Source organism: Homo sapiens, chromosome 11, assembly GCF_000001405.40.
Source record: "Homo sapiens chromosome 11, GRCh38.p14 Primary Assembly".
Taxonomy (NCBI): Eukaryota; Metazoa; Chordata; class Mammalia; order Primates; family Hominidae; genus Homo; species Homo sapiens.
The window spans coordinates 58958913-58978480 of NC_000011.10; the positions used below are offsets into that span (position 1 = coordinate 58958913).

A 19568-nucleotide genomic window follows, 5' to 3' on the forward strand; every position below is an offset into this window, starting at 1 on the left:
TGTTTTCTAACAACAATCAGCCTGAAAAATCAGCTGCAAGCATAGATAAGCAAGCTAAAACTTGCAAAGGGGAATGCCGGCACCTATGCCAATAGAAAAGGGATACTTGGAAGCCAGGCATACTCGCATGTTCAACATGGAGGTGTCCTCTTCTTTTTTTTTTTTTTTTTTTTTTTGACGGAGTCTCGCTCTGTTGCCCATGCTGGAGTGGAGTGGGGCGATGTCGGCTCACTGCACCCTCTGCCTCCCGGGTTCAAGCAGCTCTCTACCTCAGCCTCCTGAGTGGCTGGGATTTCAGGAGCCCACCAACAGGCCCGGCTAAATTTTTTTTTTTTTGTATTTTTTTTAGTGGAGACGAGGTTTCACCATCTTGGCCAAGCTGGTCTTGAACTCCTGACCTCGTGATCCACCCTCCTCGCCCTCAGAAAGTGCGGTGATTACAGGCGTGAGCTACGGCGCCCTGCCTCTTCTTCCCTTTTCTTTGTCTTCAAGTGTTCAGGCAACATGGCGCTGGCCAGATAGAGACCCCATCTGCATAATAAAAGATTAGGATGGGATGGCCAGCCTCTTCGTGCATTCACACCTGGTCCAACCAACCCTCTGAGCCCTGTGTAAATCAGACACTGGCTCCTCAAGCTCATCTATAAAACCAGCCGCAACTTGCCCCAAACCCAGAAACCCGCTCAGGCACCCTTCCAATGCACAGGGAACTCTCTCTTCTTTCTTTTGCCTATTAACCTTCCACTCTTAAATCCACTCCTTCTGTGTCTACATCTTCAATTTCCTTATTGTGAGACAAAAAGCCTCTGGCATTTACCCAAATGATTCTGCTTCACTGCCATCTCTAGCCCAAGTGCCAAAAATGACCACTTTAGCCTGATGAATGCCACGGCTGCTACCATGCTGCTTAGGACAAGCAAGGATACAAAGATGGACTGGGGAATGGTTTATCAGAGAGGCCGCAATGAAAGCATATCCCATGCAACTTTCCACTTCTTAACTTCTGTCATTTTCAAACTTAAAGGTTTTTTTTTTTATTTTTATGTTTTGTTGTTGTTGTTTTGTTTTTAACAGTTTCTATTTCTGGCCCAAAGACTTCTCTTTGTTTTCCTCCTATGACATATTTATTGTTTGTTCTAAAGTCCTTTCCAACATTTCCTATAGTAATTTAGAAGACATGTGTTTGGTTCACATCTTGATCTCCTCTCCACCTAGAATTCTTTTTACTTTCTCCCAGGAAGATTCCACCCCTCCTATTCTGCCAGTTCCCTCTACCTCAAACAGTTGCCCTTTCAGGCAGATAAGCCTGGGCCAGTTCTACTTTACTATGGACACCAACTCTTCTGAAATAACATCTGAGTCTTGGGATTTGCATATGAATCTTCCCTTGACACAGAAAACAGTCTTTCCTTTTACCTTCACTAAAGGCATACACTTGGGAGAATGGACAGCACTAAAATTCCACAGGTTTCAAAACCAAACGTGCTGTGCCATTCTAGAGTTCTTGGAATGAAGACGACAAAGTAGGTTAGAAGGGATGATTTCCTCCTTCCTTTGTCACCATGAAGGAGCTCCTGTTTTTAAAGGGAAAAATTAACGACAGTCCAAAAGAAACTCTTGCAAATCAAGCCTTGCCATGCCACCACGAGAAGGGTAATCTGTGTGCCTAGGGGTGAAATTTTTAAATTTTTGTAACGGTGTCCAGGGTCACCCTGTGGATAACAAAAATATTTAAAAACCTACACCGGTGCCAACCTTTCAGAACTGTGTGTCTTTGCAAGGACTTACCAAGGCCTAGAGATGATAGCAGTCTACAGGCAAACTCCAAAGCCTCCCACCTGCCCCAACCAACACACACACACACACACACACACAAACACCACCCTGCTATTCTTTGGCCCTAGATCTCACTTAAATTTATTCTAAATCTTAATCTCCCTGTGCCTTCAAACTCATGTGTTGTACAGCCTTGGTAATTGCTTTTTAAGGATATTCCCTGACTTTATAAAAACTATTTATGAGACATATATCTAAGGTAAAACTTTTCATTTCAGCCCAGATCAGCACTCTTTTTATTAGAATTACAAATCCTGAATTTCTTAGTTGCTAGAAAAATATATTGAAAAGGAATTATGCTTGTATAGCAACGGATTATCTCTGGAAAAGTACTGGGTGTCTAGAGGATGAGTGAAAATTGTTTCCCCTATATATATTTTTTTATTTCGAAAAGTATATCCTGTGTATATTCAAAAGATAACATTTTATAAACAGGGAAATTGCCTCCACTGTGGACTCTTATTAATTCACTTATCCACCAAGTTCTCTTATTAACTGACTTATCCATCATATTCCCTTATTAACTTTTTATTCAACCACTAGTATATGCTTCTATTGCTCATAATTGAGCACAAATTTCTTTACTATTATATAAAATAAAGTGCCAGCTATTCCACTTTTTCTCCCATACCTCAATGAGATGACATCTTCCAATAGATTCATTTCCCTGTTTTGCTCCCTCCTCCCATCCAGATGAGTGTGCTAAGTGATACAAAATGCTTTTATTTCTTTACCCCTCATCCCCCTGAGCCCAATCCCTGGATGTTTTATTTCCAGGTGTCATAGAATTTTCCTTGTGGTGTGTCGCTTCTATTTAAAGAATTCTTCTTTAAAACTTTTATACACATTCCTGTAGAGTCTATCATTGTCCATTCAGAGTTAACTGTCTACATAAAATTTGTCAGATTTTTTTTGGCTCACCACTGTTTCTTCTCCTTTTTATCTGCTCCTATTTGAGATCTCTGTTCCCATTTGATTTGTTAAAATTCTTTCTCCAATATTTTCTGTGTGTAATTATGCTACTTATATGATAGCTGAAGACTCTCAAATTCACAAATACCTTTCTTTGATCCTCACAAGAATATAACTTCTGAAGTCTTATATATCCACAAATATTTTTCTTTTACCCTCAGGGGATTGATGCCCTATGACCCCACATTTTAGGCTTAACAAATTTAATTTTTTTCTCTTAATACATAAGGAAACTGAGGTGCAAAGAAAGAAGGGAAACTTGAACCTTCATTCAAGGTCACAAAGCTAGTAAGAAGTGGATGACTAGCGATGAGGGTTTCAGGTTGAGATTAACAACAAATGTCACAGAAGACAATAGTGTTTAACCCAACTTCAAGTTCATAAAATGAATGGACGTTTCCTGATCCCTCAACTTCCTCCCCCACCTCAGGGGATTTCAGGATGTACCAGGCAAAGCTGTCTCCCTCGATCCCCAACTGTTTCTCAGTCAGTGAGGGGTGTTAAGAACTCTTCACTGCCCCTCTTGAAGCTTACATTCTGGAGCAGGGAGAGAGAAACTGAAAAAAAATTTGAAAAAAAAAACCCAGTAAACATATTTCCTACATACTGAGATGTAGTATATGAAAAAACAACACAGGATTCAGGAAGAGAAGATGATGGAGGGAGAAAGAACAACAAATAAATAGGAAAAGAGCCTCCAGATAGGAGAAGATAAAAGGGAGAGGAAACAGGAAGGGGTCAGAACAGGCCTCCCTAAAAGCCTGGCATTTGACAGAGTGCTGCAGAATGAAGAGAGCCAAGCACATACCAGGGGGGTAGGGTTGCAGTCTGAGGAAGCACTCCAGGAAGCACCCAAGATGGTCCACTAGGGTGAACAAAGAACATACTTGAACCACCAGTTAGATTCACCTTCATCTAAAAAATAAGAAATTAAATGTGCCTGATATTTATTTAATATGTTAATTTCAAAACTATATATATATATATAGTTGATGCTCAAATCGTTAAAAATTAGGTATGTAAAATTAAAGCTCATAGATTACTCTTGCCTATGGCAAGGAGCTCCTGATAGGCAAGGATACATCTCACCCATCTCTGTATCTTCAGAATCCATCATATTATGTGGAACATAATAAGTATCAGTAGTATGTTGGGGGGAAAGATCGAAACCATGCTGAGCACCGGAATTCTGTGTAAATCTTTCAAAAAAAAATCTCTTCTACTTTATAGCAGAGTCCCTTTTCTTTTTTATTTTTAGTAGCAACTAGCCCCACACCTTGCAGATGAGCTCCTAAGAAATGAATGGGTGAATGAATGCGTGGACAGCGAGATGGATCAGTGAGTGAGGAACAGCGATTCGCAGGACCTGCATGCATTGAAATCCTGACAAAGCAGCCTCTGCAAGATAAAAGACCTTAGGCTTTGCCGTTTGACAGAAGTTAAAATTATTCAAGGGCTGTCCTTGGGCAATTTACTTGAAGTTTCATAATCTGTGAAACAGAAAATGAATTAAATAAAAAGATAATTGAGACAAACCTATAAAAAGTGCCAAAGCAGGATGCCTGGCATTAAGGGACGCTTCACACCTGTTATCTCTCACCCTATTCTCTCTTCACCCCTACTCCCGCCCGGCAGCTCCCCGCTGTTAGCACCAGAAATAGTTATCTGCTAAGAAAACGAAAAGTGTAATGCTGGCTTTACCCCGCGACGCTTTAAAAAACTCCAAAAACCCAGCGTGATGGGGGGTAGGTTTGCCTAGACACAGCTGAGGCAGCCTTAATAAACTGAGAGGAAGGTTAATTGTCAAAGAGGGTTGAGCCACTAGGAGCAGCAGCAACCTTGGACTAACAGGTGTATCTTCAGCGAGCACATGTCCCAGCACATGTCCCCACGCCCATCCTTCCATTTAGCGCCACAAACGCAGCCTCTTAAGAGAATGGGAAGTTTGGGAGTCACAGAACGGAAGCTACCATTGGCCTTAATGGATGTCAACCATTAAGGTAAGCTTGGGAGTCGGAGAACGGAAGCTACCATTGGTTTTAGTGAATGTCAATCTTCACCCGCCACTTTTCTTCCTGGCCTCCTTGCCCCTTCCTATTCTGCTGGCTAGTTCTCTCTCGTCATCTGCTGGCCGCACTCGGGAACATACCAAACGCGGAAACGCGCCTTAGCTTGCCCTGAATACCTGCAAACCGAGGGCTCGGCGTGGTTTTTAAAGGCTTGGCTAGCGTGCCCCCGGCGGTACTAAAAGAGGGCTGCTTGCGCCAATCTCATTCCCACAGGATGCAAGTACAGAAGCAGAGCGGACGCCCGGAAGGGGTCACAGAGAGACAGGCGGGGCGGTTGACCAGCTGACTGGACTCACTTTGGAGAAATGCAAATTACCGAGCCACAGTCCAACCAATGGTATCAAAACAGAATCTCTACAGATGTAGCTCAGCGAAGATGAATCTCGGCCTCACCCCAGAGAAATTAAATATATTGGGGGTACCCAGAATCCCCATTTTAAAAAACCTATCCAAGTGATAAGTTTGAACATTAAAGTACAGAGAATCACAAACTGGCAGAACTCTTTAACTTACAAAAAGGTAATGAAGACCCCCCAAGAGGAAAAGGAATTTGCCCAAGGTCTCCCTGCAAGATCCTAAGAAAACATGAGGCTCTAAGGTTAAAAACCTAACTGACAACCATTCCCTCCCGCAACTCGTCCTCTGACCTCTAGCAAACTATCCTGTCCTAATCTGTGAAATAGGAGCAACAGTTACACCTATCCCAGCAGGTGGCTGCAAATATCAAATGGGACCAAAATGAGTCAACTACCAAGCACCACCCGACTGGAACTACAGGTTGAACTAAATCTTGATCGCCCTACCCCTGTTCATCTCCCAGTACCACTGTATGAAGGTGGAGGTGAAGCCTGTCTTGAAGAGAGAGAGAGGCTCCTTGGAGCCTCTGGAGTCCGAAGGTAGATGTTACCTTCCTCTTGAGTGCATTGTCTTCCTAAGATAGGATGGACAACAGGGTCTATATGGAAAGTGTTGGCTGTCAGGGCTTCAAGTCTGGCTCCTAAGCTGTTGCTGGAGGGTTAGAGACCCCACTCCAGCTCTCTCTAAAATGAGGGCAGCTTGTTAGCAAGAGTGAGTGAGGTGAGCCCTCTATGAACCCATGGGAGGAGAGAAAACGAGCATCCCATATAAGCTTTTACATACCCCATTGCAAGCTCCATAATGTGGTGCCCAGGCCCTTATCTCTAACCCATCCCCAGAAGCCAATTCTCCTTAGCCCTTCCTGCCACTTCTTCCATTGTACATCCAGATGGTTCCCTTCTTCTCTTCTATCAAACTCCTACTCATCTCTCATCCATCAAGCCCAAATATAAATCTTTCTCTGTGATATACTCGCAAGTTAGAGGCAGTGGTGCCTTCCTCTGTATTCCCAGAACATGTTGTTTGCAACTCTAAATACAGACATCAGCCTACTGTTAGGGTTCAGGAGCATCTTTTAGGAGTTCATGGGGAAATCACTTTCCATAAATGCTGGCCTTATTCCCTAACTTCACCAGACCTGACCTTAGTGCTTCATCCATTCCCACCTCTCCTGACCATGTAAGAGGCCTTTTCTTCTTATTGGTTTGAAAAACACAAAATGACCCAACCACCAGTTATGTGGCCAAAAGAATTCTTGTCACATTATAATCAAATCCAGCCAACAAGATGCTTTGTGGCAAGTGAACGTTCCTTTTCAGGGCAAACACTGTCCCCAGGAATGTGAGACAACTTCCACAGCCCCATATAAGTATTAGCTGGAAGTGAGGCTTCGTTGGTGGCTCAAAAGATTCCCTGAGCACCCCTACGCTGTCGCTGATGTCAAATTGCAGTGGGATTGCATCAAATCTCTCAGAGCACAGCTGCAAAGAGAAACGCAAAGCTAGAGCTCTACTCTGGACCCATAGCTCTAGGCAGTTAGTTTCTCTGTGAGGTTCAATTTTATACATAAGGAAGAAATGGAAGATTGCTACCAAAAATGACATCATGTTACTTATTCTAATCGTGTGGTTCAGTTGCTACTCCAGTGATGAGCAAGTAAAGAGGAATTAGAAGCATGACTATTCCTAGGCTCAAGGAGCAGGGAAGTTCTGGAATTGGGTGTGTGGCAGTGCTGCTTGGAGTGCCATTACAAAGGGGCAAGACTGGTTCACTGGGAGGTAAAATATAGGGCACCTAAGAGACAAGGGGTCTGGGAAACAAGGCAGACTTTTGTAGTTATCATTTGCTCTGATATCTCTCCACGAACTTTCTTCTCCCTTTTAATTTTCTCTGTACTTTAATTACATTTCTTTTTAGGGACAGGCCCCCAAATCTGGCCATAATCTGGCCCCAAAACTGGCCATAAACAAAATCTCTGCAGCACCGTGACATGTTCGTGATGGCCATGAAGTCCACGCTGAGGGTTGTGGGTTTACTGGAATGAGGGCAAGGAACACCTGGCCCACCCAGGGAGGAAAACTGCTTAAAGGCGTTCCTAAGCCACAAGCAATAGCATAAGCCATCTGTGCCTTAAGGAAATGTTCCTACTGCAGATAACTAGCCAGAGCCCATCCCTCTGTTTTGGCACATTCCTTTGTTTTCTGCAAGGAATACTTTTAGTTAATCTATAATCTATAATCTATAGAAACAATGTTTATCACTGGCTTGCTGTCAATAAATATATGGGTAAGTCTCTGTTTGAGGCTCTCAGCTCTGAAGGCTGTGAGACCCCTGATTCCCACTCCACACACTGTATTTCTGTGTGTGTGTCTTTAATTCCTCTAGTGCGACTGGGTTAGGGTATCCACGACTGAGCTGGTCTTGGCAATTTCTCAGGCCTGGCATGGTGGCTCACATCTGTAATCCCAGCACTTTGGGAGGCTGAGGCGGGCAGAGCACCTGAAGTCAGGAGTTTGACCCTAGCCTGGCCAACATGGTGAAATCCCATCCCTACCAAAAACACAAAAATTAGCCAGGCATGGTGGCAAGCACCTGTAATACCAGCTGCTCAGGAGGCTGAGGCATGAGAATCGCTTGAACCCAGGAGGTGGAGGTTGCAGTGAACTGAGATCATGCCACTGCACTCCAGCCTGGGCAATAGAGCAAGACCCTGTCTCAAAAAAAAAAAAAAAAAAGACTTCTCAGTTAATGAACAACATTGTTACCATCATAAGTCCTAGCTTCCCTCTCTTTCTCCCTCCATGTGTCTTTTATTTTTATCTATGTTCTTCTCTCCCAGATTCACCCTCTGGCCCCTTCTTAAGGCTCCGTGGGCATTCACCCTCACGTGTTGAATGTCCACTTCCCTCCTTATTTTTTAACTGGCATGGATTAGCATCTCAAAGTCAACAGGTCAAAAGTAGAATTACTGATACACACACACATACACACACACACACAGCCCAATCCTGGCATACACAGCGTCTCCTTCCTCAGTCTTCCCCATATCAGTTAATGGAGACTTTATCCTTCTAGTTGCTTAAGTCAAAAGCCCAGGAATCATCACTGAGCCCTCTTTTTCTCTTATTTATGGAACATCCATAAGCAAATTCCATGTGCTGGCCTTTCAAAATATATGTGGAATCCAGCCATTTCTAACACCTCCACCATTACCACCTGAGGCCGGGCTCCGAAATCTTTGCAATCCTGGGACAGACTCTTAGCCGCCTTCTCCCTTCCACATCTCCTCTTGTCCTCCCAGAGTTTGTCCCCCACGCAGCTGCCAGAGTGATTTTTTAAAATATGTCAGGTTATATTACTCCCTTGTTTCAAATCCTCCATTTAAAATAAATTTCACATTTAAAACAAAATCCAGACTTCTTCATATGGCTGACCAGGTGCTTTATGCTAATGGAATGTGCAGATGCTCCTCCCTAAGGAGTGCTTCTTTCCAGGGCAAATTATCTCCAGTGATGTCAGGCAATTTCAACAACACCATTCTCTACCACCTCTTGCTCTTCATAGCTTTTTTTCTCCAGATTCTATAATGAAAAGAAAATCAAGTTTCCTTGTGCAATGATTTACTCTCCGATGTATATTGGTGCCAGTCACTTATACTGCTTTCAGATGATTCAAGAATAACAGCGATTTGAGAAAGCTGTCCTTAAGTTTTCTCTTCTGTTTTTCTGTATAATATTATTTTTACAATTATACTTCCAAAGTTTTCTCTTTCCAAGCACCACAACACCCGTGTAATTTAAGCAGTGATTTCAGGGGTCTCTCTATATTTTACATTAATTTCAGAAACATGCTCTTGATTATTCCACCAAAACCATCAACTTTTACATCAACATCTGTCCTTCTATGAGTTACAAAATAATTGTCACCATCCCCCCCTTAATCAACCATCGTCTCCCCTTCTTTGACCAACTTTTCAAACACCCAATACTGAAAGCATCTCCTTCTATTCAGGTTCTTAGATAGTAAGACGTTCTGTTCTTAAACAGTAAGATGTTTTCTCAAGCCCCATGCAAAGCACTTCTTTGATCATCACTTTGGGGATACCCAACTCTGGCGTCTTCATCAGGAGGGTAAAGTTCCACACTCAGTAATGCGCGTCCTGAGAACAATGCCTAAGCAGTGCTGGCCGCTTCCTTATCCAGGCTGGCATTGTCTGTGTTCACCAGCCCGTCCGGGAAGTTGGATCATTTGCGGAGCAGGCCAAGTCCCTCTAGCCCTCACGCAGGCGTGGGTACAGCCTGCTCTGGAACTTGCAGTAGGCTGGAGTCTGGGCTTCTGCATCATCAGGATTGAGCTCTCTCTGCTGCTGCCAACGGATCCCGCCTGGGTGCTAGTCCCGCCACCGCCGCTCACCCCACAGCGGCAGAATGGCAGCAAGTGCCACACACCAAAGCACCGGGGCGGGATATTTGCCCTGCAGCTCCCGCCAGCGCGCTGCTCTGACGCAAACAAAACGCGGGGAAAGCGCGAAACCGCCAGGTGCCTCCCACTCAGGGATGTCAGGGAGGTGACTGGGGTCTAAGTCATGGAGAACTTAGAGGGGCTGTTACAAGGAATTTGTGTCTCTCTGAATGAGACTGGGTGTTACCCCTGCAGTAGCAGGGGTTGCACAAAGGAATAACAAAATCTGGCTTTTGTTTTAAAAGGAGCATTCTGTTTTTCCATTGAGAAAAGACTAAAGACATTCTCCATCCAGAAAAGACTGCCAGGAACTCTGAAGTATCTAAAAGCTTACCCTACTTGGAGCACAGTTTCATAAATGCTGGCAGATGACACAAGCCTCCTGGATCAAAGACAGTATTTTATGATTCATTCAACAGGCAGAATGATTTTTGTGTTTGTGTCAGTCATCCTTGCTCCATAAGTCCTGCAGAGGTAATACAGAACAGCAGATTAATGTTGCAAATGCAATAGTTGTGTGTTGCAGCCAAGGAACCCTGAATTTAGGGAACACGTATGTTTTATAATGAACTGCAAGCAAACCTATCTGAACTTTGCTCCAGAGGAAGACATTATCTTTTTTATACTTAACAGTAAGCAAACCTGCCCTCTGCTTCAGAAGAAAACAGTATCTCTAGCTTCCAAGCTGTCCTCTTTACAAACATCCTTGAAAAGCTAGTCAGGAGCAAAGACTGTCAAAGTCTCTGCTCATAAGATATGCAGAAATGTGAGAGGTCATGAAGAATTTTCCTCCAACCAGAATTATCAGGATGTCATAATGGATTGGATGTAAAGTGGGAGGGGAAAAGATACTTAAGAATAACTCCAAATGTTTTCATTTGAACAAGGGAAAAGATGGAGTTGCCATCAACTAAGTTGAGAAAGACTACAGGTAAAGCAGGCTGGGTGGAGAGGGTGGATAAGGAGTTCGATCTGAGACATAATGAGTTTGAGATGGCTACTGGAGGGAATCCAGGAGATGTCAAACAGGCCATTAGATAAATATGTTTTGAGTTTGGAAATGAGTTTGAGTAATAATATAAATGTATTAGTCATTGGCAGGTAGATTGATATTAAAGGCATGGGATCAGATGGGATAACCAGGGAGTAAGTGTGGATAAAAATGAGGGCCAATTATTGAACTCAGAGGTGATCCAAAATGAAGAAATTGGGGAGAAAAGAAGGGTCCACAGAGGAGACTGAGAAGAAGTAACAAGTGAAGCTAAAAGAAGACCAAGAGAGTGTGTTTTCTTGGAAAGAAGTGAAGAAAGTTCTTTAAAGGATGAGCTATTAAGATGAGAAATAATAATTGACTCTTGGATTTAATAACATAGGCTTTAAAAAGTGTTTCAGTAGAATGGTAGCAGCAAAATCCCAATTAGATAAGTTTAGGAGGGGGATTGGAGATAGCATGTATAGACAATCCTTTCAGTGAATTTTGCCACAAAGTGTTAAAGCAAACTAAATATGGCCTCAGAAGGACTCTGTACTTCTGCATTTGAGTCCTCATGGGGGAACTGTAACCTACCTTAATAGTCAGACAAAATTGAAAACCTAATTTAGTAGTGTGCACTTGTGACAATGCTTGAGTGTTAGCCAATCCCAGCAGCCATACTTCAGCCACTCATAGACTACTGAATGTTCAAACTGTGTTCAAATAAAGCAAATGCCCAGTTGTTACCAATCTCACTGTGTCTGTACCTCACTTCCTGTTTCTGTACGTCACTTTACCTTTTTTGGTCTATAAATTCGTTTTGACCATGAGGCACCCCGGGAGGCTCTGTGAATCTGCTGTGATTCTGAAGGCTGCCGGATTCACAAATTGTTCATTGCTCAATTATATTCCTTTAAATTTAATTCAGCTGAAGTTTTTATTTTATCAGATTATGTCAGAAGCAAATCCGAAGTGGAGTTTCTAGTATACCCAGGAGCACTTAGTAAACATGGAAGGTACCTGCAGGATCCACTTGTGTCCATTGATCTCTCAGAGTGGCTGAGAATCACAGGTAAGCTTAATCTCACATTTTGGAGCTTCACACATTTGTGTTTGGAGCTGAGTTTCTTTGAGCAAATTTCTGATCCAAACTGGGTTTGGAGTTGCAACAGAAAATGGACTGGGTCTAGGAACGGATTTGATCTGGGAATTAACTGGCTTGGATCCAGTTAGATGCCATTTATGTCTCACTCAGTCAGAAAGAAACTGGTAGTAAGCAGCAATTTACAGGAGTTATAAAATTTAACTTTTGACAATTCGCTGGGATTTTTGTATTCTACCCCCTTTGTTTTGTGTGTGTGTGTGTGTGTGTGTGTGTGTGCACCTAGGGAGGAAAAAAATCATTGGCTAAGTTAATCAAGAGAGCCTGAGAGTAAAGCCAGTATTTAGAGGTAAAAATTGAATCCTTAATTTCAGGAAAACTGAGTTCCTTCTGGCTTATACATTAGGCCTCGGAGGCAGCAAAGTCTTACAGAAATGGCAAAATCTTACTAAAGATAACTTAGAGTGGAACATTCCAGTTGAACAACAATGCATTGAAGTACATTTAAAAATGAGGGCTCTCAGTAAAGTCTTTTTTGTCTAAACACAGGTTTGGCACTATGGGATGTCAACTGCTATTCTCTTTCGAATAATCTGCCTTGCATTCTTTGTTGATGGCTGTGGGTGACAGGATTAGGCATGTAAAGAATCATGATACATAGGGAGCTTTTTTCTTCCCCTTAAAAGAGGGGAAACTTGATAGCTGATGGGACTACTGGGAAAAAAGAAAAATACAGAAAAATAGCATTTATTCTGTTTTCATAATTCTCATCTTTATGGTTCTAGTGCCTTCCATGTTTTTTTCAATCTTGCATAAAAATAAAAACATGTCAATGGTACAAAAGAAAATTCTGAAATAAGAAGGAAATCACACATAATTTTGCCACCCAAAAACAACTTTCATGTTTACTTATTCCCTTCAAGACCTTGTCCACATGCATACATACTTTGGGTAGACATGGACAAGTTATATATTTTGCTTTTTTACACATTATTTATTATAACTGCTTTTCTATAGTCTTCCCAGTGACCACTGACTGTGTGCTACTGATATTTACTAACTGTCATTCACAAATTTATTATTTCTCTTCAGTGGACTTTAAACTTATTTCCCATATATAATGGAAAATTATTTTAGTTATGAAATGTAATTCTGACACATGATACAACATAGGCAAACCTCAAAAACATTATGCTAAGTGAAATAAGCCAGGCCTAAAGGGACAAATATCATAGAATTCCATTTATATGAAGTACCTAGTATTGGCAAACTCCTAAAGACATAAAGTAAAATAAAAGTTATTTTGTGTATATATCCCTAGCCACGGGCTAGGGACAGAGGGAATGAGTAATTGTGGTTTAATAGATATAGTTTCTGTTTAGTATGACAAAAACGTTCTGGAAATGGGTAGTGGTGATGCTTATACAGCATTGTGAATGATCACAAACCACTGCGTTGTACGCTTAAATATGGTTAAACAGTAAGTTTTGTGTTATGAGTAATTTACAATTTTTTAAAAGAGTATGGGGAGGGGTCTACCCAGGATTTTACCAGCTAATTGATTCAGAAAAGAAATGTTGGGGGGCAGTTCCAAGATGGGCGAATAGGAACTGCTCCATTCTATAGCTCACAGCGTGAGTGACGCAGAAGATGGGTGATTTCTGAATTTTCTAACTGAGGTACTAACTGAGGGCTTCATCTCACTGGGGCTTGTCAGACAGTGGGTGCAGGACAGTGGGTGCAGCCCACCGAGCATGAGCCAAAGCAGGGCGAGATATCACCTCACCCAGGAAGTGCAATGGGTCAGGGAATTCCCTTTCCTAGCCAAGGGAAGCTGTTAGAGACAGCACCTGGAAAATCGGGTCACTCCCACCCTAATACTGCACTTTTCCAATGGTCTTAGCAAATGGCACACCAGGAGATTATATCCTGTGCCTGGCTCAGAGGGACCCACACCCAGGGAGACTCACTCATTGCTAGCACAGCAGTCTGAGATTGCACTGCAAGGCAGCAGCGAGGCTGGGGGAAGGGCATCTGCCATTGCTGAGGCTTGAGTAGGTAAACAAAGCACCCTGGAGCCCACCGCAGCTCAAGGAGGCCTGCCTGCCTCTGTAGACTCCACCTCTGGGGGCATGGCATAGCCAAGAAAAAGGCAGCAGAAACATCAGCAGACTGAAATGTCCCTGTCTGACAGCTTTGAAGAGAGTGGTGGTTCTCCCAGCACAGAGTATGAGATCTGAGAACGGACAGACTACCTCCTCAAGTGGGTCCCTGACCCCCAAGTAGCCTAACTGGGAGGAATCCCCCAGTAGGGGTAGACTGACACCTCACATGGCCAGGTACCCCTCTGAGACAAAGCTTCCAGAGGAACGATCAGGCAGCACATTTGCTGTTCAGCAATATTTGCTGTTCTGCAGCCTCCACTGCTGATACCCAGGCAAACAGGGTCTGGAGTGGACCTCCAGCAAACTCCAACAGACCTGCAGCTGAGAGTCTTGACTGTTAGAAAGAAAACTAACAAACAGAAAGAACATCCACACCAAAACCCTATCTGTACGTCACCATTATCAAAGACCAAAGGTAGATAAAACCACAAAGATGGGGAAAAATCAGAGCAGAAAAGCTGAAAATTCTAAAAATCAGAGTGCCTCTCCCACTCCAAAGGAATGCAGCTCCTCAACAGCAACAGAAGAAAGCTGGACATAGAATGACTTTGCCTAGTTGAGAGAAGAAGGCTTCAGATGATCAAACTTATCCGAGCTAAAGGAGGAAGTTCCAACCCATGGCAAAGAAGCTAAAAACCCTGAAAGAAGATTAGACGAATGGCTAACTAGAATAACCAATGTAGAGAAGTCCTTAAATGACCTGATGGAGCAGAAAAACATGGCAAGAGAACTACGTGACGAATGCAAAAGCTTCAGTAGCTGATTCGATCAACTGGAAGAAAGGGTATCAGTGATTGAAGATCAAATGAATGAAATGAAGTGAGAAGAGAAGTTTAGAGAAAAAACAGTAAAAAGCAATGAACAAAGCCTCCAAGAAATATGGTACTAGGTGAAAAGACCAAATCTCCGTCTGATGGGTGTACCTGAAAGTGACAGGGAGAATGGAACCAAGTTGGAAAACACTCTGCAGGATATTATCCAGGAGAACTTCCCCAACCTAGCAAGGCAGGCCAACATTCAAATTCAGGAAATACAGAGAGTGTCACAAAGATACTCCTCGAGAAGAGCAAGTCCAGGACACATAATTATCAGATTCACCAAAGTTGAAATGAAGGAAAAAATGTTAATGGCAGCCAGAGAGAAAGGTCAGGTTCCCCACAAAGGGAAGCATATGAGACTAACAGTGGATATCTCAACAGAAACTCTATAAGCCATAAGAGAGTGGGGGCTAATATTGAACAATCTTAAAGAAAAGAATTTTCAACCCACAATTTCATATCCAGCCAAACTAAGCTTCATAAGTGAAAGAGAACTAAAATCCTTTACAGAAAGGCAAATGCTGAGATATTTTGTCACCACCAAGCCTGCCCTACAACAGCTCCTGAAGGAAGCACTAAACATGGAAAGGAACAACCAGTACCAGCTACTGCAAAAACATGGCAAATTGTAAAGACCATCAATGCTAGGAAGAAACGAATCAACTAATGAGCAAAATACCCAGCTAACATCATAATGACAGGATTAAATTCACACATAACAATCTTAGCCGTAAATGTAAATGGGCTAAATGCTCCAATTAAAAGACACAGACTGGCAAATTAGATAAAGAATCAAGATCCATCAATGTCCTGTATTCAGGAGACCCATCTCACATAGACACATATAGGCTCAAAATAACTCATTTTATGAGGTCAGCATCATCCTGATACCAAAGCCTTCCAGAGGCACAACAAAAAAAGAGAATTTTAGACCAATATCCCTAATGAACATCGATGCAAATATCCTTAATAAACTACTGGCAAACTGAATCCAGCAGCACATCAAAACACTAACTCATCACAATCAAGTGGGCTTCATCCCTGGGATGCAAGGCTGGTTCAACATACACAAATCAATAAACGTAATCCAGCATATAAACAGAAACAAAGACAAAAACCACATGATTATCTCAATAGATGGACAAAAGTCCTTCAACAAAATTCAACGCCCTTCAAGCTAAAAACTCTCAATAAATTAGGTATTGATGGGAAGTATCTCAAAATAATAAGAGCTATTTATGACAAACCCACAGCCAATATCATACTGAATGGGCAAAAACTGGAAGCATTCCCTTTGAAAACTGGCACAAGACAGGGATGCCCTCTCTCACCACTCCTATTCAACATAGTGTTAGAAGTTCTGGCCAGGGCAATCAGGCAGGAGAAGGAAATAAAGGGTATTCAATTAGGAAAAGAGGAAGTCAAATTGTCCCTGTTTGCACATTACATGATTGTATATTTAGAAAACCCCATCGTCTCAGCCCCAAATCTCCTTAATCTGATAAGCAACTTCAGCAAAGTCTCAGGATAGAAAATCAATGTGCAAAAATCACAAGCATTCTTATGCACCAATAACAGACAAACGGAGAGCCAAATCATGAGTGAAATCACATTCACAATTGCTTCAAAGAGAATAAAATACCTAGGAATCCAACTTACAAGGGATGTGAAGGACCTCTTCAAGGAGAACTATGAACCACTGCTCAACAAAATAAAAGAGGACACCAACAAATGGAAGAACATTCTATGCTCATGGATAGGAAGAATTAATATCATGAAAATGCCCATACTGCCCATGGTAATTTATAGATTCAATGCCATCCCCGTCAAGCTACCAATGACTTTCTTCACAGAATTGGAAAAAACTACTTTAAAGTTCATATGGAACAAAAAAAAAAAAGCCCGCATTGCCAAGTCAATCCTAAGCCAAAAGAACAAAGCTGGAGCCATCATGCTACCTGACTTCAAACTATACTACAAGGCTACAGTAACCAAACAGCATGGTACTGGTACCAAAACAGAGATATAGACCAATGGAACAGAACAGAGCCCTCAGAGATAATACCACACTTCTACAACCATTGGATCTTTGACAAACCTGACAAAAACAAGAAATGGGGAAAGGATTCCCTTTTTAATAAATGATGCTGGGAAAACTGGCTAATCATATGTAGAAAGCTGAAACTGGATCCCTTCCTTACACCTTATACAAAAATTAATTCAAGATGGATCAAACATTTAAATGTTAGACCTAAAACCATAAAAACCCTAGAAGAAAACCTAGCAATACCATTCAGGACATAGGCACAGGCAAGGACTTCATGTCTAAAACACCAAAAGCAATGGCCACAAAAGCCAAAACTGACAAATGGGATCTAATTAAACTAAAGAGCTTCTGCACAGCAGAAGAAACTATCATCAGAGTGAACAGACAACCTAGAGAATGGGAGAAAATTTTTGCAACCTATTCATCTGACAAAGGGCTACTATCCAGAATCTACAAAGAACTCAAACAAATTTACAAGAAAAAAACAAACAACCCCATCAAAATGTGGGCAAAGGATGTGAACAGACCTTTCTCAAAAGAAGACATTTATGCAGCCAACAGACACATGAAAAAATGCTCATCATCATGGGCCATCAGAGAAATGCAAATCAAAACCACAATGAGATACCATCTCACACCAGTTAGAATGGTGATCATTAAAAATTCAAGAAACAACAGGTGCTGGAGAGGATGTGGAGAAATAGGAACACTTTTACACTGTTGGTGGGGCTGTAAACTAGTTGAACCATTGTGGAAGACAGTGTGGCGATTCCTTAAGGATCTAGAACTAGAAATACCATTTGATCCAGCCATCCCATTACTGGGTATATACCCAAAGGATTATAAATCATGCTGCTATAAAGACACATGCACACGTATGTTTATTGAGGCACTATTCACAATAGCAAAGACTTGGAACCAACCCAAATGTCCATCAATGATAGACTGGATTAAGAAAATGTGGCACATATACACCATGGTATACTATGTAGCCATAAAAAATGATAAGTTCATGTCCTTTGTAGGGACATGGATGAAGCTGGAAACCATCATTCTCAGCAAACTATCACAAGGACAAAAAACCAAACACCACATGTTCTCACTCATAGGTGGAAATTGAACAATGAGAACACTTGGACACAGGAAGGGGAACATCACTCACCGGGGCCTGTCGTGGGGTGGGGGTAGAGGAGAGGGATAGCATTAGGAGATATACCTAATGTAAATGACAAGTTAATAGGTGCAGCACACCAACATGGCACATGTATACATATGTAACAAACCTGCACGATGTGCACATGTACCCTAGAACTTAAAGTATAATAGTAATAAATGAAATGTTGATGGTAAGAATATGGGTAGAGAAAACTTTTATTTGGGTAGATGTTAGAAGCTGAGGCCTGGGTGCGGTTATAAAAGCAATATTAAGTATGAGGAGAAGGAGGCCCTGAACTAAGGTCATTGCAAGTGAATGGAGTAGGGAATAGATAGGAGAGGTATTTTGGACAAAGATGTGGCAGCTGATAGGTGTGGGAGTTGTTCTCATGTACCAGCCCAGTCTACAAAGTTCTCAGGGCAAATGGAACACAAGTTTTTTCTGCAGGAAGTGATACAGCATGGTAGATCTTGAATTGAGACTTCTAAAATCTTTACTAAAACTTTAAAGGAGAATACAATAGTAAAACACAGGGTATGGACAATTTTAGTTGACAGGTGATAAACAGAAAAGACATATCTTGGAGGTGGGGGGAAAAAAAAGACCAGTTTTTTTTGACAACTGCAAGAACAGCAGAGTTAAACAGGGGATAGGCTCATGTCAGAGATCCAGTTCTATTTACTAAAATTTCCTTGAGTATTCAAGCATTCTGAAATTCTGAGATCTTGCAAAAGGATGCCTTTGTTTAAACTTTCCTTCATCTAGCTACAGAACATAGTTGAACTTTGAGGCCTTTGACCCCAGACAAGACAAAACATCTTTCACCTTGCCTATTGCTTAACACATATTTGTTAACTATTTAACCTTCATGGATAAAAAATTTCAAACATCTGTATTAACTAATTTGCTAATGATTGTTTCAAATATCTGATCCATGGGTTTCTTCTTACATTAGTTAAATTTGTTGTAAGTTCTTTACATTTTTAATTATCTTATATCATTGGATATAATTGCTAAATCTCTATATGACATGTTGATTAATATAAAGTCAATTAAAAAAACTAACATGTTAAATATTGTTCTTACATAATGCCAGGTATAACGCTATGCATTTTTATATATATTGCATTGTGTAATCTAATTCCTCTGGAAAACATGCATTCTAATTTCTGGCTCCAAAGCTGTGAGAAAACACTTTGAGTTCTGATTGATTAAGCAACCTAACAAAGAAGTAGGAGACATAATTAAAATTTGAAACCAGCCTAAGCTTTGAAACTATGAGTGGTGATGATTACCTTCTCCAAGTTATTATTAAATTAACGGCACATTTCTGAGAATTGTGAATGTTATTTCAATGGAAGTTTACAGATATGTGTCAAAATTTTTTCATCATTTTTAAAAAAAATTTGTAATGAAATGAGAAAAGATCCAAAATGGCCATAGGTCTAAAATATTTTGCCCTCAGAAACTAAAGAAAATCGTTGCCACATCCTGCTCTAAGTTTTTCAGCCATAACTATTCTTAGATGGCTGATATTTTCTATTCCACATGGAAAAAGACTTCTCAGGCATTTGATGACCAGACGACAGGGAAAAAGTTATGATGTTGGTGG

The 19568-nt window shown here is 41.4% G+C and overlaps 1 long non-coding RNA gene and 1 pseudogene across 1 annotated transcript in view; both read right to left on the reverse strand.

Annotated features, from left to right (window-relative positions):
• The window catches only part of GLYATL1-AS1 (GLYATL1 antisense RNA 1), a 124810-nt gene that overhangs the window by 25270 nt on the left and 79972 nt on the right, over positions 1-19568 (reverse strand). The window lies entirely within an intron of this gene.
• Positions 8684-9379, reverse strand: LOC100422398 (protein kinase cAMP-dependent type II regulatory subunit beta pseudogene; annotated as a pseudogene).